General features: G+C 52.7%; 1 protein-coding gene and 2 long non-coding RNA genes across 14 annotated transcripts in view, besides 10 other annotated features; 1 reads left to right on the top strand and 2 right to left on the bottom strand.

Annotated features, from left to right (window-relative positions):
• The window catches only part of NEK6 (NIMA related kinase 6), a 95,702-nt gene extending 77,281 nt beyond the window's left edge, over nucleotides 1-18,421 (bottom strand). For 5 of the 12 annotated variants that reach the window (XR_007061234.1, XR_007061237.1, XM_047422652.1 and 2 more), the window contains exon 1: nucleotides 17,666-17,786. Coding sequence is in view for 2 of the 12 variants with exons in the window: in XM_047422653.1 (XP_047278609.1) it covers nucleotides 13,009-13,081 (73 nt within the window). In the remaining 10 variants the exon portion in view is untranslated. Of the gene's footprint in view, nucleotides 1-13,008; nucleotides 13,112-14,443; nucleotides 14,560-17,665; nucleotides 17,787-17,941; nucleotides 18,079-18,305 lie in introns of those variants that run through there. The other 7 variants (XR_007061235.1, NM_001166167.2, NM_001145001.3 and 4 more) reach the window with 5 other exon arrangements.
• On the bottom strand, nucleotides 5,487-13,002 carry LOC124902268 (uncharacterized). The gene is made up of 2 exons (XR_007061765.1): nucleotides 12,527-13,002; nucleotides 5,487-6,121 (listed from the first exon to the last, which is right to left on the bottom strand). It is a non-coding gene; the product is annotated as an uncharacterized LOC124902268 (long non-coding RNA).
• Nucleotides 10,900-10,959: a silencer, noted in NCBI's record as "silent region_20262". NCBI's record gives its function as "represses an Ori minimal core promoter by ATAC-STARR-seq in GM12878 lymphoblastoid cells {active_cell/tissue: GM12878}" and the evidence as "EXISTENCE:reporter gene assay evidence [ECO:0000049][PMID:35858748]".
• Nucleotides 11,461-12,074: an enhancer, noted in NCBI's record as "H3K4me1 hESC enhancer chr9:127026232-127026845 (GRCh37/hg19 assembly coordinates)". NCBI's record gives its function as "activates a minimal SCP1, AML or CMV promoter by ChIP-STARR-seq in primed H9 embryonic stem cells {active_cell/tissue: H9 hESC(primed)}" and the evidence as "EXISTENCE:reporter gene assay evidence [ECO:0000049][PMID:30033119]".
• Nucleotides 11,940-12,029: an enhancer, noted in NCBI's record as "active region_28974". NCBI's record gives its function as "activates an Ori minimal core promoter by ATAC-STARR-seq in GM12878 lymphoblastoid cells {active_cell/tissue: GM12878}" and the evidence as "EXISTENCE:reporter gene assay evidence [ECO:0000049][PMID:35858748]".
• Nucleotides 14,859-16,817, top strand: LOC613206 (uncharacterized). The gene is made up of 2 exons (NR_149024.1): nucleotides 14,859-14,933; nucleotides 16,533-16,817. It is a non-coding gene; the product is annotated as an uncharacterized LOC613206 (long non-coding RNA).
• Nucleotides 16,516-17,461: an enhancer, noted in NCBI's record as "H3K27ac hESC enhancer chr9:127020845-127021790 (GRCh37/hg19 assembly coordinates)". NCBI's record gives its function as "activates a minimal SCP1, AML or CMV promoter by ChIP-STARR-seq in naive H9 embryonic stem cells {active_cell/tissue: H9 hESC(naive)}" and the evidence as "EXISTENCE:reporter gene assay evidence [ECO:0000049][PMID:30033119]".
• Nucleotides 17,499-17,868: a silencer, noted in NCBI's record as "silent region_20261". NCBI's record gives its function as "represses an Ori minimal core promoter by ATAC-STARR-seq in GM12878 lymphoblastoid cells {active_cell/tissue: GM12878}" and the evidence as "EXISTENCE:reporter gene assay evidence [ECO:0000049][PMID:35858748]".
• Nucleotides 17,929-18,058: a silencer, noted in NCBI's record as "silent region_20260". NCBI's record gives its function as "represses an Ori minimal core promoter by ATAC-STARR-seq in GM12878 lymphoblastoid cells {active_cell/tissue: GM12878}" and the evidence as "EXISTENCE:reporter gene assay evidence [ECO:0000049][PMID:35858748]".
• Nucleotides 21,207-21,296: an enhancer, noted in NCBI's record as "active region_28973". NCBI's record gives its function as "activates an Ori minimal core promoter by ATAC-STARR-seq in GM12878 lymphoblastoid cells {active_cell/tissue: GM12878}" and the evidence as "EXISTENCE:reporter gene assay evidence [ECO:0000049][PMID:35858748]".
• Nucleotides 21,327-21,416: an enhancer, noted in NCBI's record as "active region_28972". NCBI's record gives its function as "activates an Ori minimal core promoter by ATAC-STARR-seq in GM12878 lymphoblastoid cells {active_cell/tissue: GM12878}" and the evidence as "EXISTENCE:reporter gene assay evidence [ECO:0000049][PMID:35858748]".
• Nucleotides 21,427-21,806: an enhancer, noted in NCBI's record as "active region_28971". NCBI's record gives its function as "activates an Ori minimal core promoter by ATAC-STARR-seq in GM12878 lymphoblastoid cells {active_cell/tissue: GM12878}" and the evidence as "EXISTENCE:reporter gene assay evidence [ECO:0000049][PMID:35858748]".
• Nucleotides 23,543-23,837: a silencer, noted in NCBI's record as "tiled region #14990; HepG2 Repressive non-DNase unmatched - State 23:Low". NCBI's record gives its function as "represses a minimal TATA promoter and a strong SV40 promoter by Sharpr-MPRA in HepG2 cells {active_cell/tissue: HepG2}" and the evidence as "EXISTENCE:reporter gene assay evidence [ECO:0000049][PMID:27701403]".

Raw genomic sequence — 25,638 nt, 5'->3', positions numbered from 1 at the left:
GGGGCCACTCCCCTGCTCAAAACCTTTCCAAACACCCACCTCCCGCAGGATCAAACCTAACTGTCGTTTAAAGGATCACCGCAGCAGGCACAATGGGTATGTGAGTCACAGAGCTGGTTCCATCCGTCCCGCTGACCTATCTGTCCCCAGAAAAGGCCTGGGCTTTGGACACAGTGGTCTCAGCATCTCAGCTGTCCCCATGGCCACAGGCCTGAGGAACAAACGAAGGGTGCATTGCTCCCTCCCCTCATTACCGTCACCGAGGCCTTTGCCAGGCCAGGCCCTGGGCTGAGCACTGGGACCACAGAGGAAAGTGGCTCAGTCCTAGCCCTGGAGGGGATCCTGGGGCAGGGGACTGGCCATTAGTGGGCCTCACAGGGTGGGGGGCCATGTTGGGGAAGATGCAGAAGGGGCTATGGAGGCACCAAGCAGGGGTTTCTAAGCAGTGTGCTGAGGTCAGAGGAGACTCCCCAGAAGCAGTGATGTCTGAGAAGTGAGAAGGAAAGCATTACAGACCCAGAGAACCAGGAGCTCCGCCTGGCAGAGGACAGGGCCCGGCAGGCGGGGGCAGGCAGCTGGAGCTGACACTTCTGAATGCTGACCCCGTTACCCATGGGTTCTGGGCTCCATGACCGTCATCAACCAGGTCACCCCTCCACAGTGCTGGGAGTGAAGATGAGGAAACCGAGGCTCAGGCAGGTGAAACCATGACTCAAAGACATCCGGCAAGTTAGTGACGTGGATGAAATGGCCCTGGTTTAAATAAGTGGGCACCTACATCTCATCCCTAGAAGTTTAAAATTACGTTTTTAAAAACATTCACTGTAGGATTCCAACTGTTGGCTCTTTGGGGGCTGCAGAGCCTTCATCAATCCTTCCTTCTGTTATCTGTGGAATTCCCACTGTGTGCTGTGCACAGTCTCACCCTCCTGGAGTTTACTGGGATGGAAGTGTGGTGAGGCACACGATGAACTAATCACAAGAACTAAGCAGAGCTCGTGCCCCTGGGGTCCCTGCTCAGGTTAAGAATTGTACTAAGTTAGGTCGGTCCTTTTCACATCCATCTTTTCATTCCTGTGCACACAGCAGACATTGCTAATCAATGCCAGTCTCCAAAGCCTTCTCAACATGGCATCTCGGGCAGCCCCTATCAATCTATCAGAGCCGGCACTGGAGAGGACAATGATTGCCAGCCTTGCTACAAATGGACATGCAGAATGGCAAGCACAGTGCGTCAGACCGGTCAGCTCCCAACCTCCCTCCCTCATTCTCAGGATCCCAGACCCCTGAAATTCTATCAGATGTCCAGGTGGAATACATGATATTCAGCATTGTCCTCGATCAGCATTCTTACATGAAAGCAAAAACCCTCCAGATGTCTGCTCACTTTCTTGGGGAATTGGGAGGTGATGCTGGGACAGGCTGCTGACAGGTACCCGGACTGTGAGTCCACACTCTGCTGCTTCTGGAGCCTCAAGGAGGGGCACTGCTGGTCCTCCACGAAAATGGACAGACTGAGGTTCAAACTTCAGTGCTACTGCTCATGAGCTGTGTGACTCAAAGCAAGTGTCTACACTCTCTGGGACTCTGCTGTTTCATCTAAAAATGAGGACAGAGATACCACTTCCCAAATTTTGGCCAGCACAGTGCCAGGCATCTGTCAGCAGCCCATAAATGCTGGGTCCCTCCTTCCCTTCTTCTGAAGTCAAGGGGCTGTGGTACACAGGTGTCAAGCCCCGTTCACATCTGCCACTGGGGCCATCACATGCCCTGCCACAGCGAGGCTCACACGGGACATGCGCAGGAAGCAGATTGGATGGGCCCTGCGGCCTCTGTCCTCCATGGCCAAGGATCTTTACCACCCAAGGAAGCATCCATTTGTAAGAGTTTTCTCTCCCTCTCTTTCTTTCCCTTCCCCTCTAAGCAAAACTGCCTGGCGGCCAATCCTGCCTCTGTCCCCAAGACAGTTCCAAAGGGCCCATCTCATCCCACAGAAGTGATGGCGGTAATTCCATTAATGGGAAGCAAGATGAATGGTACCCTGTGCCCAAAGTGTATGAGGCAAGACGGAATGGGGGGGCCATGTGGGGAAGGAAAGTGTTGCTGGAATTCACCCTCCGTTGGGGCCTTATTAGGTCCTGGAAGAGCCGCCGCACTCGCTAAAACCTGCTTTTGCCAGCAGAAGCCTCATTTTACAAATATACAACAACAACAAAAAAACCCGTAAATGGGAAGAAAACCCTGAAGATTACGCTCCCCTGCTGCAGTGAGGCTGCGAGCCGCCACTCAGAACTGAAGTCTTTAGCCTCCTCAACTCCCGCTTTAAATAAATGGCCTAAATGCCAGCTCACCATTTCGTGAATGCAGAGCACGGCTGTTTCTTTGCCGTTTAAGGACTGCTTGCCAACGGTGGGACGGGACAACTTTGGAAACATTTTCTTATAAAAGGCTTGCCTGTTCCAGATGCTATAAAACCCCATCACCCTGGCTGTCGGTCCCAGGAAGGGTGGATACGGGCCCCTCTGCTGTCACAGACACACGTGCCCTGACTGCCCGCTGTCATTTCTTAAGTCTTCTCCTGCCCTGAGAATCAGTGGCATTTTGAAGGCAGTTTCGCTGTGGAATGAGTGTCCATTTCCACAAGCATGCAAAGGGTTCCGTCCCCTCCCCCATTCGGGATCAAGCCCTGAATTGTTCTTTAGGCCTCAGTTTATCCAAATGCAGGATGTTGGGGAGGCCAAAGCTAGTCCGGAGACCACCATGGATGATGGCAGACAGAGCAGGTGGATGTGGAATAAGGCCGCCCGGGGCTGTGTGACCTTGGCAAGCCACACAGCCTCTCTGAGCCTCCACTTCCTCATCTGTCACATGAACCTAACCCCACACACCTCACAGCCTTGGAGCAAGGAGTCAACGCAATCCTGGCTCACGCGGAAATGGTCATTTTTCAGGCCAATTTTAGCACCAACAGTCTGTCTCTATTCTTCTCTGCAGAGCTCTCCTGCAGCACCCAGCACAGCCCTGACACATGGGCCGCTGAGAGTCTACTGCTTTGAGCAGAATCTTTGGTTTTTCTGCTGCCAAGAATTAAAAAAACATCCATTCACACTAGGGCAGAGTGGTTCCGATAGTGTGGTCTGGAAGCCACGGGCGTGGGTTCAAATCCTGACTTGGCAGTGGGCACACTGTGCTCCTCAGCAAATGATGCAGCCTCACTCAGCCTCCCTTTCCTCATCTGTAAAATGAATTAATAGGACCTGACTCTCAAGGTCACCAAGAGAGGTCGATGCGATCACATGTGACCAGGGCCTGGCCCAGGTGGGTCTCCATGACCAGCAGCGTTAGGGGGAGCGGTTGTGAGTCTCAGGAGAGCCTGGGGAAAACTCCCACATTGCAACTGGAAAAACTGATTTCTCAAAGACACCTTGAAGCAAAGCAAAGCCCGATGAGGCCTTCCCAGGACGCTGGGAGTGCTGGGACCTCACACGAAAGGCAGCATGTTAAATCCCCAGGGATTGCCCTTTAATGGAAGAAAGAGATTGAAGGAACTCCATTCTTTGTGGCAGCCATGGGCCACCACGCTGTCCCAGCTACCTCTCCCCAGCACTGCCTGGCCAGGAACCCTGCACCGGTTTCTTGTTTAGGAACCACAGCACCAGCCCTGTGCAGGCAGGGACTTCATGCCTGGGGCTCATTACTGTATCTCAGCAGAGCGCCTGGATCTGTGGGATGAAATGAATGAACAAAGAAAACAAGGAAGGGATGAATTCCTTAGGGAGGGCAGCTCTGGACTGAGAGCCTGCCCTGTGGCCTGGGGAAGCGCTCCCCAGAGCGTCACAGGGGCCACCAAGCTCCGAGCTCACCCCATACCATGTCGTTTACCATCAACACAGAGTATCAAAGGCCTCTTCTGGGCCTGGCGTGGAACTGAGGACTATACACCCTTACCACAATAGATTGGGAAAACTGCCCCAGAGACAGGATCTGCTATTACCCCTTGCTCCACAAATGGGAAAACAGAGGCCTGAGTGGGCGGTAACAAGCCCAGGAGACACGGGGAGCACAAGGTGGGTGTGGCTCACGGCCAGGTGTGCCTAACTCTGCCGCTGCCACCTGTCTCTCTGGGCACAAGTACAGCCACAGAGCTGGCCAGGCCTTGCAGGAGAAAAGCTGGAGCTGTGGCCCTGAGATCTGCTCCCTGCCAAGAACAAGGATGGACTGCTCAGGGGCAGGAGTGGACAGGCAGCAGCGCTGAGGTCTGGCCCCTGTCCTGCAGATGCAGATGCAGCAGACGGTGGGGGCAAGAGGCCCAGCCAGGGAGGGACCTCAGCCAGCCAGTGTGCCTGGGATTCGTGTGCAAAGAGCACTAACTCTGGGGCCAGCCGGGCCTGGGTTCAAATCTCAGTTTCCAAAGTGTGTGGTTTATGGCTTTGGACTGGCAGCTTCATTCTCTGAGCCTCAGTTAACTTCATCTGAAAAACAGGATCAGCTCAAAGTTGTCACGAGGATTAACGAAGGCAACACACGGAAAGTACTTGGCCGGGTCTCCGGTGCACAGTGGGTACTAAGTAAGTACCCCTCACCTGAGCCTCCTTGTCCATGTTTTCAGAGTAACCAGACGTCACTCCCTGTGGGTGCTGAGCCTCCCCATTTTGGGGCTGGGAACAGCGTGACAGCTGGTGGAATCCAAGCTCCTCACCCTCTCTGATCTCTGGGGCACCACGTGTTTGGCGTTGTTCCTGAGTGAGAAGGTTGGCAACCGCGCCACTCGATTTCTGACCCTTGTCACTCAAGGAGCGGAAGTCAGAGGGGTTGGGTTTGTTACTGCAACAATCTCTGGCAATGGTGTGAGAGATTAAGTCAGGGAGGGCTGACCATGGTGTGTCTTTGGCACCAGAGGCTCCGGATGAAGAGGGAGAGCCCCTGGCTGGCCGACTAACCTGCTGGGCCAGCAGTCTGCAGACAGTGCTTAACACAGAACTTTCCCTTCAAATCAGATCTGGCCCCAGCTCTGTGGAGAGAACCAACATAAGGCCCTTGCTCTGTGTGAAATGTGTGTGTGGGTGCTATGGCCCCTCCCATCAGGCTGGCTTCATGTCCAGGTGACCTGGCCCTGCCCTAAGAAGGGAGCCCCAAGCGTAGGGCTTCATGCTGTGCTTTCACTGTCCTGAAATGCTTCATGTCATCTTTGAATCTGTGTTAAGTGGAGTCTGGTGGAATAATGGAGCACATGCTGGCAGCACAGAGTCTCAGCTGCCTCCCCAGGACGGGTATTCAGCTGCCTGCTCCCGCACCCAGCAACCTCTGCCACCCGTTACCTGCAGCAGGGGCCCGGATGCAGGCAGGAGGGTCGGGGGCAGGTGTGCCCACACCTGTGAGGTCTGCACTCACCCTGAAAGTATCTTGTGTCCAGGGAGTGAGACATTAAATAGCAAACAAAAAACATCATGACAGATGGAAAGAGATTGCAAAGGAAAGGAAAAAACTTTTGTGTTTTTTTTTTACTGCTTTTTGAACAAGGGAACTTGCATCTTCATTTTGCACTGGGCCCCACAAATTTTGTAGCTGGCCCTGTGTTTTATTTCCATGGACTTCTGACCCTTCCCCTCCCACTCTGGGGACCTGGGGACATCCCTAGGCCTCTGCAGAATGGGAAGACACCACTAGGTCTAAGACCATCCCTTCCCAAGAGGCTTCTTGGACACTCAGCCCCCGCCCTGCAGGTCTTGTGGGGTGAACTTCTAGGGTTGGCCGTTCATTGCCGTCTTGTGTGCCAGGCCCCGCTCCAGGTGCTGAGGATGTCTGATCAACCTTTCGAGGCCTCTGTGCTTGAGGGGCTCCAGGGCACAGAGAAGTAACGCAACAGGCAGGACCAATGGCAGCAGATGCCGGGGGATGGAGCACATGGGGAGATGGAGCACTCAGTGGCAAGCCCCACAGACAGCATGGGGGGGGGGCGTGGAAGGAACGGCTACTGCAGCTGGCACATTCCAGGTGGCTCCCAAAGGCAGGGATGCTGCGGTTGGCTCTAGGAGACTCCTCTATAAAAGGGGAACACCTTGATTTAACTGGCTGGACTGTGGGAGACTGAAAGGGCTGTCAGTTGATTCCTCCCAGGGCACTGCAGGGAGAGAGAGAGGCTGAGGCAAAGGCTCAGGGGCCACAGGACACTTATATGGGGGACAGTCTGCAGTAAACTCCCTTAATGACTCTGCAAAACCAACAACAAAGAGAAGGGCAGAGGCTCAAGAACCACATTTCCTGAGCACCTACTATGTGCCAGGCACCGGGCTGCAGTGGCCCTTCCACACGACTCCCTGCCCCTCCTAAGCTATTCATTCCTTGTGCCTTCCAATCCCATCCGACATTTTACAGACATCACCTTCCTTTCCTGTGATTTAGAAAGTCCACCGAGGCAGGCGGATCACTCGAGACCAGCCTGGCCAACATGGTGAAACCCATCTCTACTAAAAATACAAAAAAAAATTAGCCGGGCGTGGTGGTGGGTGCCTGTAATCCCAGCTACTCGGGAGGCTGCGGCAGGAGAATTGCTTGAACCCGGGAGGCAGAGGTTGCGGTAAGCCAAGATCGTGCCATTGCACTCCAGCCTGGGTGACAAGAGTGAAACTCCATCTCAAAAAAAAAAAAAGTCCAGTTAGCACCAAGCAAGGGGTCACCCAGGCAGGGGTGGGGGGTTTTCAGATATGACCTGTCACCCCTAGAGTAGCACGGCACAGTAATTAAGAGCTAGAATGCAGAATGGGGTCAGCCTGGATTTGCTCCTGGGCCACTCACTAGCTGTGGGGTCTGGGGTGGACCACTGACTTGCCCTGGGCTTCAGTTTCCCCTCTGTAACTTGGGGTTAATAAGAGCCCCACCATCTGGGAATGCTGTGATGATTCAATGACATGGTATCAGTGAAGGGTACAGCACTCGGCAAGCGCTCAATAAATGTCAGCCACTGTTTTTGTCATAAAACCCCAAAACATCACATCAGAAACCCAGGTGTCCTGTGACGCTTCTCGGGATCACAGGAATCTGCTCCCTCCTTCCCGCATCTGCCGAGACTCTGCTCCGAGCCTCCTCTCTCCCCCATTGTCATGTCGCATCAGTCCATAAATATTTAAACAACATGTCATCAGATTATTATAACATATGATCTATAGCACTGATGTGCTGCAGTTCTGTGCATTTGGGCTTCATTTTCAGAATATCGAGACATAAAATATTTATGTATTTAGCCAACCACGCGATCTCACATTCTGTCTCAAAATGCTGGGTGGTGGCAAGACGCTGAACTGAGACACAACGTGTGAAGGGGATGCCTTGTTCTCACGTCGGTTCCTGGGGCATCTGGATTGTTTCTGGTTCATTCTGGGGACGTCACCACGTGGCCTGTGAACAGTGGCTGACTGGGTATATCACAGCAAGCAGAGAGAGAGCCAGGACTAAAGACCCCATCAAAACACCACAAGTGTCCAAACCACTACGGACTGTGCCATTTGCATTTCTGCATCTCCATGAGTCTGCACACAGTAGGTGGTTGTTAAATGTCCACTGGGAAGTGAATGCATTCACCTGTGGCACACAGCACACCCTATGGGCTGGCACACAGTAGGGACTCAGTCATATTTGTTCTGTTTCATTCCACCCCCAGTACCCAGCACCAGGCCAGGTACATCAGCAAACAGTGCTGGATGAATGGCAATTGAAGGAGTAAATGTGTGACCAGATAAACCACTTAATTAGCTAATAAATGAATGAGGGATAATGACTCCCTATCTGCTGGTCCAAATTACACTGTGTAAGACCCTCCTCCTGAGAAATAAAGGCTCTCCAGTAACCTGCACTGGGTAGGAAAAGGGGTTTTTCTGGGTCATTAAATATCTCAATTGCTAACATTAGCACATCACAGTGACCATATGTCCTGAAATTTTCAGGACTGGGTAATTTCAAAGATGCCACCCCATAAGCCATTTGAGCATCCAGAGACTTCGCACAGCAGACAGCATCTTCCAAACCATCTCTCCTGTCCCTGAATGGCACTAAATACTTCTACAGATCACAGCCCGTTTGGGAGTTTGGAAAGTGGGGCCATGATGTGTCTCACCTACAGGTGATCAATGTCTGAAGACACAGAACACCATAAAGGTCTGTGCGAGTGAAAGGTGTTAGCTCAGAGTACAAGTATTTTCTCTGCATGTTTCCCCAGGAAGACGGGGCAGGGACCTCATCTGATTCCTGTGTGTTTCCCCAGGGGCCAAGAAGGCATGTGGTGCTCAGCCGTCCCTTGCTGAATGGCATCATGAAACCTGGTCACAGGGCTTCCTCATTTCAGGGTCCCAGTGGCCAGCTCAGGGGCGGCCCAGCACCTGGTGTGCCCATCACCCCTTGGAGAAAACCACAGAATGTTTTCCAAATGCCACGCTGTCACCACTAGGCTGGCTCCAAGAGCAGGCGGCTCCCACACTTGTCCCAGCGTCTGCACAGACAAAAACCCAGTCCTCATTTCCTCTTGGGTTAGGTAAGGAGGCTGGCATTTAAAACACACACAAAAGGCCACTACATTCCCGGAGGAGACGAACAAAGGAAATGTACACACACTGACTCAGTCCGGCACGCCGTGCCCACTCGAGGTCCTGTTGTAACTGAATCCAGGCGGACTCGACCGGACCTGCCAAGCCCAGGGGCGGACTCCCTCTCCTTTGCTCTCTTCTGTGTGCCATGTGGTGCCCAGTGATCCTGCCATCTGGGCACCCACGCTGGTGGCCCGCCAAGGCCACATCAGCTGCAGAATCTTTCCTCTTTCAATGCTGGGTTTCCTACTTTCTAAGATGGGGTGTAATCTGGGGTCCTGCTCATTTGCCAAAAAGTCATGTCTGTGCTCAGAGGTGGCTTGGTTAGCCTTTCCTCAAAGCAACCCCAAAAGATATGCCCTCTAAACAAAGTGTGTGCTTGGTAGAAAATGCAGCTTTAAGACACAGCACTGACCCATTCCAACCCAAAGCCCTCCTATGCAGACATGTGGGAGCTGCCTCGGCAGGGAAGGGGCATAGGAAGGAGAGCCTGTAACTCTGGGAGGTAGAGCCCTTCTGGGCTTAGGTTCCTCCTCATTGGAATAATTCGAGGATGAGCATTTCTCTAAGAAACCTCTTCTCCCAGGGAAGGGCCAGCTCAGCTCAATACAGCCCTGCACAGCCCACTGAGGGGAGTGAGGAACGTTTGCTAACAGATTCGTTCACTCCATATAAACATTCTCCAAGGATCCGGCCGCGTGCCTACTTAAAACTTCCCATTCACTCAACAAATATTAATTGAGCTCCTCCTATGTGTCAGGCACAATGCTGGCCATGGAGAACACTGTTGTGGTCCACAGACCAAGTCCCATCCCCTTCTAGAGTGCATGTTCAGTCTGTGAGGCAGGTTACAACTATGCGATGACAAGACGGATGCTCAGGGGCCCTGGCATGGTACCTGGGTGCACACTGTTCCTTCCAGCTGCCTGGGGGCCCTCACACAGGTCCTGAGCTGGGCAGCTGGTCACTTCCTGAGGGCACATCCTGGTCACTTCCGGAGGGCAGCCTCTGTCCTCCAATTTTCAGCTCAGACCCCCATGCTGTGGGTGTCCTCACAGCACTCAGGCTGATGCTCGTCAAGCACCACAGATCCTGGACTCTCTGGGTCTCTGTTTCCTCATCTATAAAATGGGCAGAACGATACCCACATCACGGCATCACTGGGAGGATGAAGTGAGTTCCCTCAGGTTAAGGGTTAGATTAGAACATGGCCCACAGTAAGTGCCTGGTAAGGCCATCTACCGACAGGAGCAAAGGCCAAAGAAGCAGGAGGAAGTTCCACAGCCCCACCTCTCACCCACCGGCCCCACCTGCCTCTCCACCTTGGGGTCTACCTGCCCTTCACCCCAGCCCTCTCAGCCCTCTGGCAAACCCCACGTCTCCCTCCAGGTGGGTTCAAACACCCCTCACTGCCGGAAGCTCTCCTACTTCCCCAGAGACTACATCCCAAAAAATGCCACCTGCAAATTGATCAAGAGCACCTAAGAAGGGGTTGTGACAGCCTCTGTCCCCACCAGGTGGTGAGAGGCCAATGGGTGGGGCCATTAGAGGGTCTTCGTGTGGGCTCCCAGCACAATGCCTGACCCAGGACTTCCATCCGGACATACGTCATGAAAGAATGAGATAACGTGCCACACACCAGCCAGCACAAGCATCTCTGGTTAGCAGAAGGGAGTCCACTTAGCCCATAGGACAATGGACGGTCTGTGTTTTTGCATCAAAACTTTTCACCCGCAGTCCAGGCCCAGGTGTCACAACCAGAGCCTTGACCTGAAAGCTGGGACAGTGATCTGATTTAGGCTACAGAGCAGCAGGCTGCATGTGGGACCTGAGGCTGGTCATGATGTCTCTCTGGGCCTCAGTGTCGCCATCTGTAAAAGGAGAGGTATTTTTTTTTTTAAAGCAAGACAAACTTGTCTTTTTTTTTTTGAGACGGAGTCTCACTCTATTGCCCAAGCTGGAGTGCAGTGGCGCCATCTCGGCTCACTGCAACCTCCGCCTCCTGGGTTCAAGTGATTCTCCTGCCTCAGCCTCCTGAGTAGCTGGGATTACAGGCACACGCCACCACGCCCAGCTAATTTTTGTATTTTTAGTAGAGATGGGGTTTCACCATATTGGTCAGGCTGGTCTCAAACTCCTGAGCTCGTGATCCGCCTGCCTCGGCCTCCCAAAGTGCTGGGATTACAGGCGTGAGCCACCGTGCCTGGCCAAAACTTTTATGTTTAACATTTTTCTCAGATATATTTAACCACTTTAAAGCAAACCGCTGGATGGGATGTATTACAATCACAATGTTGTGCAACCACCACCTTCATCCGGTTCCAAAACGTCTGCGTCACCCCAATAAAAACCCATGTCCCTTAATCAGTCGCTCCCCAGTCTCCCCTCCCCAAAGGCCCTGGAAACCACCAATCTGCTTTAGGTCTATGTGGATTTATCTATTCTGGCTACTTCATGTATCTTAAAATGACTCCTATGCAAAACCTCCTTATGTAAAACAGGCAACAGGCAGGTGGCTTTGCCCCCTTCGCCTCCCCGGAGCTCACGTTCCTCATCCTTAGTGGCCTTTCAGGGAAAGCTCTGATGCCAGGTGCCATTCTTTGCAGAACTCTTTTTTTTTTTTTTTTTTTTTTTTTGATACAGAGTCTCGCTCTGTTGCCTAGGCTGGAGTGCAGTGGCACAATCTCAGCTCACTGCAGCCTCTGTCTCCCAGGTTCAAGTGATTCTCACGCCTCAGGCTCCTCAGGCTCCCGAGTAGCTGGGATTAAAGGTGTCCACCACCACGCCCAGCTAATTTTTCGTATTTTTAGTAGCGATGGGGTTTTGCCATGTTGGCTGGGCTGGTCTCAAACTCCTGACCTCAAGTGATCTGCCCGCCTCGGCCTCTCAAAGTGCTGGGATTATAGGCATGAGCCTGTCCTGGTCTTTGTGATTTTTACACTACCTTTTTTGTCACATGGTACCTCTTAGCAGAATTCTAATCCTAAAGTTGAATTTCTAAGGCAGATCACCCCCAAGGGTGCCTGAGGATCACGGGGCTGGTGCCTGGTGTTACTGGCCCGTTTTCCGGATGAGGGAGTAGAGGCTGGGCCCCTGTGAAGCCCTCCTTGCATGAGGTGACTACAGAGGAGTGGACCTCCAGAGCCTGGTGACACCCTCTCCCACCACACAGACTACAGCTGGGTCTAGGGTGTGACGAGCTGGCAGAGAAGCCGCCCCAGAGCGATAGCCACTTCCGGAGGACAAGGATCTCTCCACCGGCTCAGGAAAACAAGCCAGTTTAAGGGAAACCCAAATGGCTTTGGGGGGCGGGGGCATAAAATGTGCAGGACTCCCTCAGGCCTTGCCATGCAGACCTTTTCAGGAGGACTGCCAGGGGAAGACGGCTGCTCACTTCTGCCCCACGGCCAGGCCTGTGACAGCCGCTCCTGTCAGCGCAGTCCTCTGCGGGGCCGACGCTGTGTAAATAATTAACAAAACATCTGCCTTGCTTCATAACACACCGTGGCTGACACAGCTCTCAGGGCCTTCAGAGACCCTCCAATGCCACGCCGAGGACTTATGGCCTCGCTTTGTGGGGACAGGTGGGAACGAGAGCAGATACTGACAGGCAAACATTTTCCTGAGGCGCCACAGGGCCACCCTGGTGCTTAAATCCTGCCTCTTTGCAAACTGCGCTGTCTCCTTCCCTTCCGTTTTGGGAGCCATGATCCTAGGAAGGTGCTCTGGTGGAATCCAGAGGGGTCCCCGGCACCTGCTTCTGGCCTTGTTTAGGGCCTCAATGCAGGGGCACTGGAGACACTCTGGGCCACGGACCAAGGGTCCCGGCTGAGTGACCCTGGGTGGGTCCTTGGTCATTAAAGATTTTCCATGTCTCTCATGTAATCTTGGGGAATGAGCATCAAGCACTTAAAAGGCGCTGAGCATCTGAAATGCATTATTTCACTTACTTCCTCCCCCGAAGCTTCTGAGGTCATAATATTATCCCTGTTTTCCAGATGATGACGCTGAGGCTCAGTGGGCGACGTGCTCATGAGAGGCAGGTCTGGGACTCCAGCCTCATTCACTCCATCGGGTGCCCAGGCTCAGGCTCTCAATGCGGCTGTGGGGGAGCGCCTTGCTCCCTCTGAGCCTCAGGTTCTGTTCCGTGAAACAGATGGGTGGCAAGAGTCCTTCAGACTCCAAAAGTCCACAATAAATAAACCCAGTGCTCGTCTCAACCCCAGTGGGTGTGTGCGAAGCTCTCTGGATTGGGAGCCCAGTGAATTCCTCATCAGCAGCTTGATTCATTAGAGCTGAAGGTCATGTGCATCCATCCTTTTGCAGGTGTCTTCCCAACAAGCCCAAGTTTCAAAGACGTTGAGGACAAGGAACAAGAGAGGGCAGGCATTCGAGAAGGGGCCTGTGGACTAATTCCCATACTGCCACTCACCTGCAGTAAGAACGCGCCTCTGGAACATGGAGAAGTTCTTCTTAAAGGGATCTCTGTTCACCCAGGTCAACATGACCCACCCCGCAAGCCTCAGCCTAATTCTGAAGCATGAGGGTTAAACAATTCGGGGAAAATGCAGGCACTGCAGGCTCTGAATGGCAACTTCCCTCCCCCTTCCCCTGTCCAAATTCCTTCACACTCTATGGAATTCCTACATAAAGCCCCTTTTTTCTTAGAATTCTATGAGGTCACCACCATGCAGATGTCTAAGAGAAAGAAAGAACGGCTCCGTGCAGATCCAGGCCACTGCAACTGAATGCATTTCAGATCTCGGCCACCCCATCTTTCAATTCCCATGGCCCCCCCACTCGCCCAGCCACAGCTACAGCGGTGGTGGCCAGTCAGGTCTGGTGGGGTGCTGTGATCCTGCCCTTGCTGGAGGCCAAGAAGGCCTGGCTAGAAGACCTGTGCCTTTACCACCAGATCACCCGAGAAGTCATCTGTGGAAAAATCCAGAATTGGAGACAATGGCGCAGCCATGTATGTGGGGGTCTGTTTCCACACAAGCAAGTCCTGTTAGAGGGACACATGTCAAAATGCTAGCTCCCACTCCAAGTTCAAGTTCCCAAAGTTAACATCACAGGAAATTACACCACCAACTGATTTGCCCCAATGTCGGCTCCTCTGTCTGGAAGTCGAGTCTGAGAAGGCCATTGGTTTAGTTCAGCTTTGGCCAAAGGAAGGGACCAGCTCAGACAGGAATGAGTGAAAGTGCTGGCCTGATTTTTTTTCTTTTTAAACTAACATTTTCCCCAAAAGTTATCTTGCCATTACCCAAGAGTCATAAGTGAAAAGACAGCCAAATACCAAAAAGCCACTGAGGCCCTCAACAGTGCCTGCTCATTTCAAAGCCATTTCACGGACAGCCAGGGGGTGCCTGGGCCACCGCAGACCACCCCTCACTCCAAGAGCACTCCTGCTCCCCAGAGCTCCATGTTCCATGTAAAGTTCCACGGCATGTGCACACCACTTCCTAAGAATGATGTCAGCAAAAAAAAAAAAAGATAAAAATGTGGAAAAAAGGACTATTTTTACCTCCCCAAATCACAGGCCAGACGGGAGAAAAATCCATCAATGCCAGAAATGTGGCTGAGCCTTCGCACAAGATCTATTATTTCACACCTTAAATTAACGCATCTCAAAGCAATTTGCAAATGTTCGTCAATTTGCAGAACATACATGGAAGGGAGAGAAATACCTTTTCCTTTCAACACCGAAGGACACTGGCAGGGGGGCACAACATGGCCCAAACCACACAGGTCCTCACACACAACATTCATTTCAAGCACATGTAGTAGAAGCCGTGATCGAAATGGAAATGAGCAGGGAAAAAAGGCAGGCAGGGGACTTAAATGACAAGTGACAAGAAGCCTACCTACAAGCGATCTCGCTGTCAGATATTTAGGACTGTGAGTCAGGCCCGTGAAGGTGACATCAGGGGGCCAGAACACCGGACTCTTCCTGCGAACAGTGTCCCAGCCTCATCTCCACACAAGCCTGGCAGTGCCTGCCCGTATTTAATCTTGGATGATTCACCAGGTCCCTCCACTCTCCACCCTCCAACTCCCTTGCTTGGTCTAGCCTGAGAAGAGGAAGGAAATATTCTTCTCCTTTTGACAATTGTTTTGACACTTCCCTTATGAAAAGTATCTGGGGCACTTAAAGAAAAGAAAAAATGTGAACAGCAGCCCTTTCTCTCCAGTAGCTCTGGCCCTGGGCGAGGAAGGCCAGCAGTGCCTTCTGGAAGACCTCTCCCAGGTCTCGGGCAACCCAGCCCTGCAGGAACCTAGCCTGTCTTAACCTACTTGGCTTTGCAGCATGCAACAGGAGCAAAGCACGACAAAGGCAGCCAGATGTGGTTTAAGGTGAGGAACTCTGGAATCAGAGACATGGGTTCGAATCCCGACTCTGCCATTTGTGGGTTTATGACCCTGCCCAAGTTACTTAACCTCCCTCTCTGTAAGATCAGGAAAACGACACTGAACCTCAGCACAGGCCAGGCATCCAGCCCACAGTGCCTGCTACCTTCCTAGTACAGTGGGGAGACCATGGGCTCTGCTCAGACAAGCCTGGGTTCAAATCCAGCTCTGCTGCGTATTAGCACATGGTCTTTGGCGCATTCTCTCATCTCTCTGTGCCCCAGTTTCCTCATCTGTAAATGGGCATCGTGACAGCTTCCATCTTAGTGTTGGTGAGTGGACTGGGTAAAATACAGCACCAGACCTAGCACACAGTATATCCTCAGTAAATGGGGACATGGCCGGGCATGGTGGCTCATGCCTGTAATTCCAGCACTTTGGGAGGCCAAGGCGGGCGGATCACCTGAGGTCAGGAGTTCGAGACCAGCCTGGCTGGCCAACACAGTGAAACCCCATCTCTACTAAAAATACAAAAATTATCTGGGCGTGGTGGCACCTGCCTATAATCCCAGCTACTCAGGAGGAGGCTGAGGCAGGAGGCTCACTTGAACCCAGGAGGCAGAGGGTGCAGGGAGCTGAGATTGCGCCACTGTACTCCAGCCTGGGCAACAGAGTGAGACTCTGTCTCAAAAATAAATAAATAAATAAATAAAAATAAATGGGGACCATCTATCGTGGTGCTACTTTAATGAAATTATGCAAGTCATGTCTCTGAACCTCAGTTTTATCATTTGTGAAATGGGGATAATAAACCCTATCTACGATGAGCAGAAAATGAACGGATGTGTGCTAAAGTACTCAGCACTAGGTCTGTGCACCTTAGCCAGTCAAATACCATATCCCAAGTGCAATGGAAAGAGGAAAGGCTGTGAGGCTGGGCAGGTGACTTCGGATTCTGCCCCCACCTCCTCTCAGCTGCCCCAGGACACAGGCTTGACCCCCGTGTGCCTCAGTTTCCTTGTGCACAAAACCAAAAGCATTTTCTGTCACAGAAGACCAACGGGAGATTCACACCCCCTAGAACGGCTCCCAGCACACAGCCCCTTCTGCTCCGCAAAAGGGAACTTCCTCCCCATTTCCCTCCTCTGCCCTTGTTCAAACCCACCAGAAATGCCACCAGTTAAAGCCAGGCGCTCCATTTCTGGAAACCCAAACAGCTCTAAATCCAGACCAACCTGGGTCTAAGGCCTTCAGTCTGAGACTTTATTTTGTGGAGATACAAACTACTTTTTAGTCATTTCCGAAGCAGACGGGACAGCAGAGGCTGACAAACCACAGGGACCATTTTAAATCCTGGGCCTTTTCTTCTGGGAAGTTAGGCAAGAACCTTCCCAAATGTTTGCCCGTCAGGCTCTCTGCCAGGGAGTGACTCATTCCACGGCTCCCCACAGGCATATTTTATTTGGGGGTGGGGGACGCAGCGAGGGCTTGGCCTTGATGGGGGAAGGAGAGGGGGCATTTCCAGCAAACCCAGAAGGTGTTTTCTTTTTTTCATTTTCAGGAGAAAAAAGAAAAAGAATGTGGGTCTTTTTTGCTTCCTTCCAGGTTTTGTTTGCTAAAAGAAGACGTCCAAAGTTCATTCGGTAAGCTCAAACTCGCTGAGTCCAAACTCGCTGAGTCCGGGGCAGGCGCTTCCAGACGGCTCTGCGTCCCTTTCAATGAAATTCTTCTTCCATTAACGACAGGGTTTTTAAACGTGCCTCCAAGACCTGCCTGCACGTACTGTACACCAAACTAAGGCGACATTTTCCCCCAAAAAAGGCAAGCTGAATTTGGAAAAGTCAGACCAACTAGGGAGCTCTGGAATTTCTAAAGTTTGCCTTAAAGCAATTAAGACTTTCAGCTGCAAAGATTTTCAACAGTTAGAGAGCACGCACACACACAAAAGCCTGTCAGTCAAAACTGCAAGGACAGACCTCGGAAGCTGGTGTCCCAAGCCCGCTGTGATCAATTTGTTACTGTCCTGGGATTCACACTTGGAGCCTAGGAGAGGTATAAATAAATCAAAAGATCCGTCTACTTAGCAGGGCAGGCAGAGAGGCCCCCACATACACAGGCAAGTCTAGGGTCAGCCCCCCAGGCCTGGCTGGAGAGAGACAAGAACAAAGACAGGAGAGCCTGGAGGATATTTAGGAAAACACACGTCCTCGGGTGCCCGGCCGAGGGGCCCACCACAGCCTCCGCTCGCCCAGCCTGTGTATGCAGAGAGGGTCCTGCCAGTGGCCCTGCCGCAGCCTGGCTCTAAGACCTTTGCCTCTGTCAGGCCCAGCCAGGCTCTGAGTCTGCCCTCCTGGCCCCTGGTTCACCGGATCAGGCCCAGCCCCGACCCCCAGCCCATGCCAGGCCGCTTCTCTCTCCACGGGCTCCCTGGCTCGGGGGCCATCACTGTGCAAAGGCCTGGTGGGCGCAAAGGGGGCCGGCCCCTCAACCTCAGTAATAAACACGCTCGCACGGCCCTGCACACTCGTTATACTCACACCCACACAGGCATACTTTCGCCCTTCTAGGCTCACGCATGTGCTTGCACACAAATCACTTTGGAATGCACACACGTGCACACACACACTCCCTGAGACCCGCACGTACTCCCTGCGGCGCCCGGCACACTCCTCCGCCCGTCGTCCCCACTCGGGAAGTGGGTAGCGGGGAGCCATGCCCGCGTCCCCGCACGCACTCACCCCAACAACGCCACCAGACGCTCCGGGGTGCACACGCACACCCGCCGGGGACGCGCACACCCCGGGACACGCGGACACGCCGCCCCCGCCCGCCCGGCCGCCGACACGCTCAGCCCCGCGCGGCCACACTCGCGCCCGCCTCCCGCTCTCCCCCGCGGAGCCGTGGGCGCGCGCCCGCCCTCGGCCCGGCTGGGGGTGACGGCCCCGCCGCCCGGCCCCCGCCCTTCTCCGGGCCGCGGGGCCCCACCGGCCCGGCCCCAGCCCCAGGCGACTCACCGGCGCGCGGGCGGGCTCGGCTGCCGCTGGGGGACCGGTGCGCTGGCCCGCGGGCGGCTGGAGCGGTGCGTCCCACACGAGTTTGCGGCGCAGCGGCCGCACGCCCGTCAGCTCGGTTCCGCCGCCGCCGCCACCGCCTGCGCGGGCCCGCGCGCCCGCGCGCCCGCCCCTCCCCGCCGCGGGGCCGCGCCGCCCCCAGCGCTCGTGCGCGCTGCCGCCACGCAAGCTTGAGGGGCGGGGGGCGCCCCGGCGGCGTCCTTCCTGGGCCTGGACCCCTCGACTCCGCCGAGTTCTGCGGCCGATCCGCTCGGCCGAGGAACCCCTTCCCCATTTCAGAGATGGGAAGACTGAGGCCCAGACTCACAGGGCGCAGGCCGGCGTCTCCCCATCTTCTCCGGCTCTAGACTTATGATGAGGGTCTGCAGTCAGCCAACCCTTGGACTCCTGTGCGTCTTCGGATTCCCCATCGCCTAGCATTGCTCCTACCACAGCCCTAGTCATACTGAAATTGGCACAGTAACAAGCACTTATTGTGCACCAGCTGAATGCAGGCACTGAAGTAGGCTCCAAGAGTATTCCGATGAGGGGAAGGCCCTGCCCCCTGCCCTCAAAGTGCCAGCGACTCTTCATCTGGAGCTCCCACTTCCTGTGGCCCCCGGGGGACCAGCAAGAGCCAATGTGCAGAGGTTTCTGGAAGTAGTAAAAGTCCCCACTAAAGAATGTTGAACGCCCCCTCTAGAAGTCAGAGCCTCCCTGAGACCCAAGCAGCTCAGTTCTCACTTCACCTCCTCCCCGCACCGAGAGCGGCCGCTCCTGGCTGGGCTGTTTCCACCCCTGCTGCCTCCCCTCCACATTCAAAACTGTGCTGCACCCCAGGAGGGCTGGAGCCAGGGACACTGACTGCCTGCTTGGGCGCAGCACTGTACTGGGCACAGGGTGAATGCCCGTCTGGCTTCTGTTTGCCAAATGAGTGGAAGTGCTTCAACTGGCCGTGATCTGTAATAATGACACCAACGGAGCGTCCACCACGTGTGCCAACGTTACCCTTGTGCCCATTTTACAGATGGGCTTTGAGGCTTAGAAATGAAATTTCAGGCTGGGTGCGGTGGCTCACACCTGTAATCCCAGTACTATGGGAGGCTGAGGTGGGAGGATGCCTTGAGGCTGGGAGTTTGAGGCCAGCCTGGGCAATATAGCAAAACCCCATGTCTACAGAAAAATGTAAGAATTAGCTGGGTGTGGTAGTGCCTGCCTGCAGTCCCAGCTACTCGGGACGCTGAGGCGGGAGGGTCTCTTGAGCATAGGAGTTAGCAGCTGCAGTGAGCTATGATCGCACCACTGCACTCCAACCTGGACAACAACAATAAAAAGCAAATTCTTTTGTTCAAAGTCACCCAGATGGTAAGTGGTTGAGCTGGAAAGTGCACGGCAGATTGTCTAATTCCAGTGCCTGTGTGGCCAATCACTAGGCAGCCCTGCCTCAGGAACAGCATAGCCCTGGGCTTCTGGAACAAGAGGGCAGACGAGGCAGCAGCTGGCCCACAGGAGCGGGCCTGGTCCCAGCTCTTGTGGATGAAAATGCAGACATCACAAACCAATGGGGAGGAAATGGATTGTTCTGCAAATTGTTTAGCCGTTTAGCTGGAGATCTGTTTACAGCCTTGCCTCCCATGATATACACCACAATAAATGTCAGACAGATTGAAAAGTTAAATAGAAGAAATAAACACTGCAACAAATAATAGAAAGAAATCGAAGTTCTGAGACAGCGTATTGCAGTGTTACTAGAGGATTTGTGATACTGGCCATATTCATGCAGCAAACATTAGTTCAGTCATTGGTTCACCCGACACATCTATGAGCACCTTCCATGGGCCAGGTACTTTTCTAGGCACTGGGATAAAGGAGTGAACAAAATATGGCCCTTTCTTGGGGCTTCAGTCAAGGGGGAGGGATGGGGTGGGAGGAAGACACTGAATATCTGCCATTTCAAGGATAAGAAGTTTGGGCCGGGCGCGGTGGCTCACGCCTGTAATCCCAGCACTTTGGGAGGCCGACGCAGGCGGATCACAAGGTCAGGAGATCGAGACCATCCTGGATAACACGGTGAAACCCTGTCTCTACTAAAAATACAAAAAAATAGCCGGGCATGGTGGCAGGCGCCTGTAGTCCCAGCTACTTGGGAGGCTGAGGCAGGAGAATGGCGTGAACCCGGGAGGCGAAGTTTGCAGTGAGCCGAGATCGCGCCACTACACTCCAGCCTCAGTGACAGAGCGAGACTCTGTCTCCAAAAAAAAAAAAAAAAGAAGTTTGGTGGAGAAATAACTCGGAAGGGTAGGAGGACCCAGGGGTGCTTTTTTATAGGGGGTGCTGGAAGAAGGCCTTTCTGATGAGGTGACATCTGAGCAGAGGCCTGAATGAGGGAGTGGGAGAAGTCAGTAGGGGCCCACTGTGTGGAGGGCAGGTCCCATGTTCTGGCAGCTATTCAGTTAAGCTACAGAGCAAGAACCAGAAACTCCCTTTTGAAGGAAACTTTGAGAGCCGCACCAGGCCACTGGGAGGAAAGGACTGCCCCCACCCCCAACACACAATATCTATGTAAGACTTTACTGCTTGCAAAGCCCTTCCCCAGCTTCACAGAACCCGTATGACAGATACTTGTGATGTCCTCATTTTCCAGTTAGGAAACCGAGGCTCAGAGAGGTCAAGCAATCTGTCCCAGGTCACACAGCCAATGATAATCAACAGAGGTAGGTCTGGCTGCAGGCAGGCTGAGTGTTAGGGGAATAAAGAAGCCTTGTCCTGGGATACAGGAGTGAACAAAAATCTAGCTCTGACTCTCTTGGGGCTTCAGCCAAGGTGGGAGAGTGGGATGGGAGGAAGACACTGTGAATGTCTGGCATTTCAAAGATAAGAAGTTTGGTGGAGACCAGGCGCAGTGGCTCACCCTGTAATCCCAGCACTTTGGGAGGCCGAGGTGGTGGATCACCTGAGGTCAGGACTTTAAGACCAGCCTGGCCAACATGGCGAAACCCCATCTCTACTAAAAATAAAAAAATTAGCTGGGCATGGTGGCACGTGCCTATAATCCCAGCTGCTCGGGAGGCTGAGGCTGGAGAATTGCTTGACCCCAGGAGGCTGAGGTTGCAGCGAACTGAGATCATGTCACTGCATTCCAGCCTGGACAACAGAGCAAGACTCTGTTTCAAAAAAAAAAAAAAAAAGTTTGATGGAGAAATAAAGCAGGGATAGGTAGGAGGACCCAGGAGTGCTTTTGCATTGGGGGTCCCCCTCCCCCTTGGATGGGAGCAGGGTAGGGGAGGCCCATGCACCCCATTTTCCTGGCCTTCCTCCTCCTCCATCCCTCATGGCCACTTCTTTCCCTCTGTCCTGGGCCCTGTGCAGATGGTCCCAGCTCCTGGTGACACTATGGGGCAAATATCAGGGTTAGCCTGCTCAGAGATTCTTGAATTCCCTGCAGTACTCTGATACACTGACGAGGGCACAGTAGAGTGATAAGGTACAATGCAAGCTGAATCCCACTCAACTTTTGTTTTTAACTCAAAGGAGTTTTTAGGGAGTCCCAAAATGAGTCATCGTGAAGCAGTGCTTTGCAAAATGACACCCAGAATTAGGATGAGCGTCTCCCTGCACACGTTGCCTCACACTTCTGCCCACCGAGGCGTTGTTCAACTGGTCTGGGAGAAAGTCTGTCTCCGTTCACCCCCAAAGAGTTTCAGGATTCAGTATGTGTTGTTTCATTATTTCTCTGCACGAAGGGAAGAGAAACTACCGCTTGCCGGGCACCTTCTCTGCATCTGGCTCTGTAAGAGACAGTTAATTCTTATAGCATCCCTTGAGATAGGGGTCATGATTTATGTTTTATAGATGAAGAAACTGAGGCTCAGAAAATAGCCAGGATTTGAATCCAGGTTAACTCAAGTCCTTTATTGTTGTTAGTATTGGGGGAGGGGGTAATGGGGGAGAGAGGAGAGGCAAGAAGAACTTAGAATCAGGCCATGTTCCTTTGAAGTTCCTTTGTTACAAAATATCTTCTTGCCATCTTCCCGGTAATGGGATTTTTTGTAGGGGGTGAGTTCCAATTTTCCCAGAAGGATTCATTCGCTCTTGTCATCCGGGTGCGATTATTGACAGCAACCCCTTTCCCTCTGCAAGTGTCTTGCTTTGGATGATCAACTTTAGGGTCACCTTGGGTGTCTGCAAAGGCCACTGCGTTGGGGGATTCATTTTTTACATTATACAAAATGGGGGTGTCTTGTCTGCTGGGCTCTTCGCCACATACTGATGTCTGGGTGTCCCACCAAGAACTTCCAGGAGAGTTTAAGCAGTTAAGTCACATTTTTAGGAGCAGCAAACCCTGCTGGCTGCAGAAGGAGTTGGGACCCTCTCCACCTCCTCCCCAGCCCTGCCACCACTCCCTGTGTGACCCCGGGCCACTTCCTGCCTAGCACAATGTGGGGATGGGTCTCCAAGAGTCCTGTCAACCTTGACCTTCTAAGATTTCCTGTTACTTGATGACCCGGGGGAATTTCGGTCAGGATAGGGATGTAGGAGTCATCACATCATCATATGGCTCACTTTATAAAGTAGCTGGCTCATTTTTTGTTATTTAACTTAAAAAATGTTTAATTTGTTGCTTGAATAGATAATACTTGCCCACAGTTCAAAATTCAAAAGGCACAGAAGGGGACAAAGTGAAAAGTGTCCTTTCTACCCCTACCTCCCAGCCACCTGGTTCTTATCCCTGGAGGGAGCCAACGTTGCCGAATATATGCTGTCCTAGACAGTGTGTTTTGTGTGGGTGTGTATATATGTATGCACGTATATATGGTCGTGTGTATGTGAATGTATATGTATTTCTTCTTATTTTTTGCTCATATAATAGCATACAATCTACACTATTGTGTATCTTATGTTTTCTTCACTTCTTGGAGACCATTTCCTGTTGGCTCCAGAAAAACTGCTTCCTTTTATATGACTGCATAGTATTCCAAACGATTTGCATTTAATTCACATAGAGGCTGGGCGAGGTGGCTCACGCCTGTAATCCCAGCACGTTGAGAGGCCAGGGTGGGTGGATCACCTGAGGTCAGGAGTTCAAGACCAGCCTGGCCAACATAGTGAAACCTTGTCTCTACTAAAAATACAAAAATTAGCTGGGGGTGGTGGCGGGCAGCTGTAATCGCAGCTACTCGGGAGGCTGAGACAGAAGAATCGCTTGAACCCAGGAGGCAGAGGTTGCAGTGAGCCCGAGACTGCACCATTGCACTCCAGCCTGGGCGACAGAGTGAGAGTCTGTCTCACACACACACACAAAAATTCCACATACAGCAAGCATCTGCTCTGTTTAATCCGCATAGAGCAAACACTCTGTGTACTGTTCTAAGTATTGTGGGAGAGAACAGAAGTTTCAGCCATGGCCCCTGCCCTCAAGATTTTATGGTCTGGTTGGGGACAGGAACATTGGAGAGGAAGAGAAGAGTACTCTCTCCACGGGTCCCCATGCCTGTATATGAGGTTAGCTTTGGAGCTAATTTTTAAAACTCTCTGCTCCAGGCATCTGTAGAGTTGTTTTAAGAGTCCAGACATAGGTTCTTTTGAGACTTGAAAACTCAGTCTGCCTCTTCTCTGCAGTTCAAGTTCCTGCCATCCATTTCCCCACTGTGGGCCTCAGTTTCCTCATCTGTCAAAGGGGGGCAGGCAGCCTCTCTTGCAGGATTGGGGTAGTCGCCTGAGATTGTACTCCTGAAAATGCTCAGTGAAGAGTTGGAGGCTGTGCTCCAAGGCTAGAGGATCTGGGAAGAATGAGGTGGGGCTTGGAGGAATACTTTAAGTGCAGTGTGTCATCGGCTCTTCCTGCCGCAGGGAAGCGTCGGCTCTTCCTGCCGCAGGGAAGCATTTTGTCTTTCATGCGTTGCTGATCTTGTGACAGGCCTGCTAACTGGTTATCTCCTCCTGCCTTTGGCAGTGACTGCTGCCAACTCTGAGTCCTCGCCCGACACGGTTGGAGACCCCACTCCCCAGGTGGTTTCTGGAATGTGGAAAAAAAAGAAGTTATCAAGGATTATCATTCCCACCCTCACTTTACAGATGGGACTTGCTCAAGGCCACACAGCCATCAAGAGGCAGAAATGTACTCTCTGATTTCCCACCTCCCCGCACCTCCCTGAACTTCCCTCTACCACCCGCTCTAATATCTGCTGTTTCAACTAGCAGACTCAAATCCTACGGCCTGCAGGGAGCACCATGAACTGCATATGAACTGCATTTCCTGTCTGTTCCCTTACCTGATACTCTCAACTGCACTTTGAGGTAGAGATTGTTGCCCATTGTACAGATGAGGATACAGACTCAGAGACCACGAATACTAAAATCACAAAGGAGTTGGTGCGATGTCAGTCGCCCAAAGAAACTGTCAAAATCATTGTGCTCCTCAGGAAGAGAGTAGGAGTTTCTGGCTGCTGAGAGGCAACAGACATGGCAATGGGGTATTGGGGGAATGTGATTTTGGCCTTTGAAGGTGTTTTGCAAGCTCACAGTACACTGGGACTCTATCCCCGCTTGCTTTCTGGCACCTGTTCTCTCCTGATGCTGAGTTGAATAGGCCGATCTGTTGCTGGCTTCGTCTCTCTCCTCCCATGAAGCAGGAGTGTTGATGGATATGCCTTGGCTTCCAGCAGCTGCCCAGAGCCTGGCACAGGAAAGACCTAGGATTCATGGTGTGACCAGTGAGCCATATGATGGTGTGATGTTTCTTGCATCCCAATTTTTACTGAAATTCCCCAGGGTCATCGGGTAACAGGAAATCTTAGAAGGTCAAGGTTGACAGGACTCTTGGAGACCCATCCCCACATTGTGCTAGGCAGGAAGTGGCCCGGGGTCACACAGGGAGTGGTGGCAGGGCTGGGGAGGAGGTGGAGAGGGTCCCAACTCCTTCTGCAGCCAGCAGGGTTTGCTGCTCCTAAAAATGTGACTTAACTGCTTAAACTCTCCTGGAAGTTCTTGGCGGGACACCCAGACATCAGTATGTGGCAAAGAGCCCAGCAGACAAGACACCCCCATTTTGTATAATGTAAAAAATGAATCCCCCAACGCAGTGGCCTTTGCAGACACCCAAGGTGACCCTAAAGTTGATCATCCAAAGCAAGACACTTGCAGAGGGAAAGGGGTTGCTGTCAATAATCGCACCTGGATGACAAGAGCGAATGAATCCTTCTGGGAAAACTGGAACTCTCTCCCAACAAAGAATCACCTGTGCCTGCAGGATGGTCCTGGGTGATGCCTACTGTCCTGGCATAATTAATAATAGTACCCCCTGGCTGGGTGCGGTGGCTCACACCTGTAATCCCAGGACTTTGGGAGGCCAAGTCAGGTGGATCACCTGAGGTTAGGAGTTCAAGACCAGCCTGGCCAACAAGGTGAAACCCCGTCTCTACTAAAAATACAAAAATTATCTGGGCGTGGTGGCACGTGCCTGTCATCCCAGCTACTCGGGAGGCTGAGGCAGGAGAATCGCTTGAACCCGGGAGGCAGAGGTCACAGTGAACTGAGATCATGCCACGGCACTCCAGCCTGGGTGACAGAGCGAGACTCCATCTCAAAAAAAAAAAAAAAACCCAAAACGACAAACAAACAAAAAAAACAGTGCCCCTTTTCACACTCACAAGTGGCCCGGA

This window comes from Homo sapiens, chromosome 9 (genome assembly GCF_000001405.40).
Source record: "Homo sapiens chromosome 9, GRCh38.p14 Primary Assembly".
Taxonomy (NCBI): Eukaryota; Metazoa; Chordata; class Mammalia; order Primates; family Hominidae; genus Homo; species Homo sapiens.
This window is presented reverse-complemented; position numbering and strand designations above follow the sequence as displayed.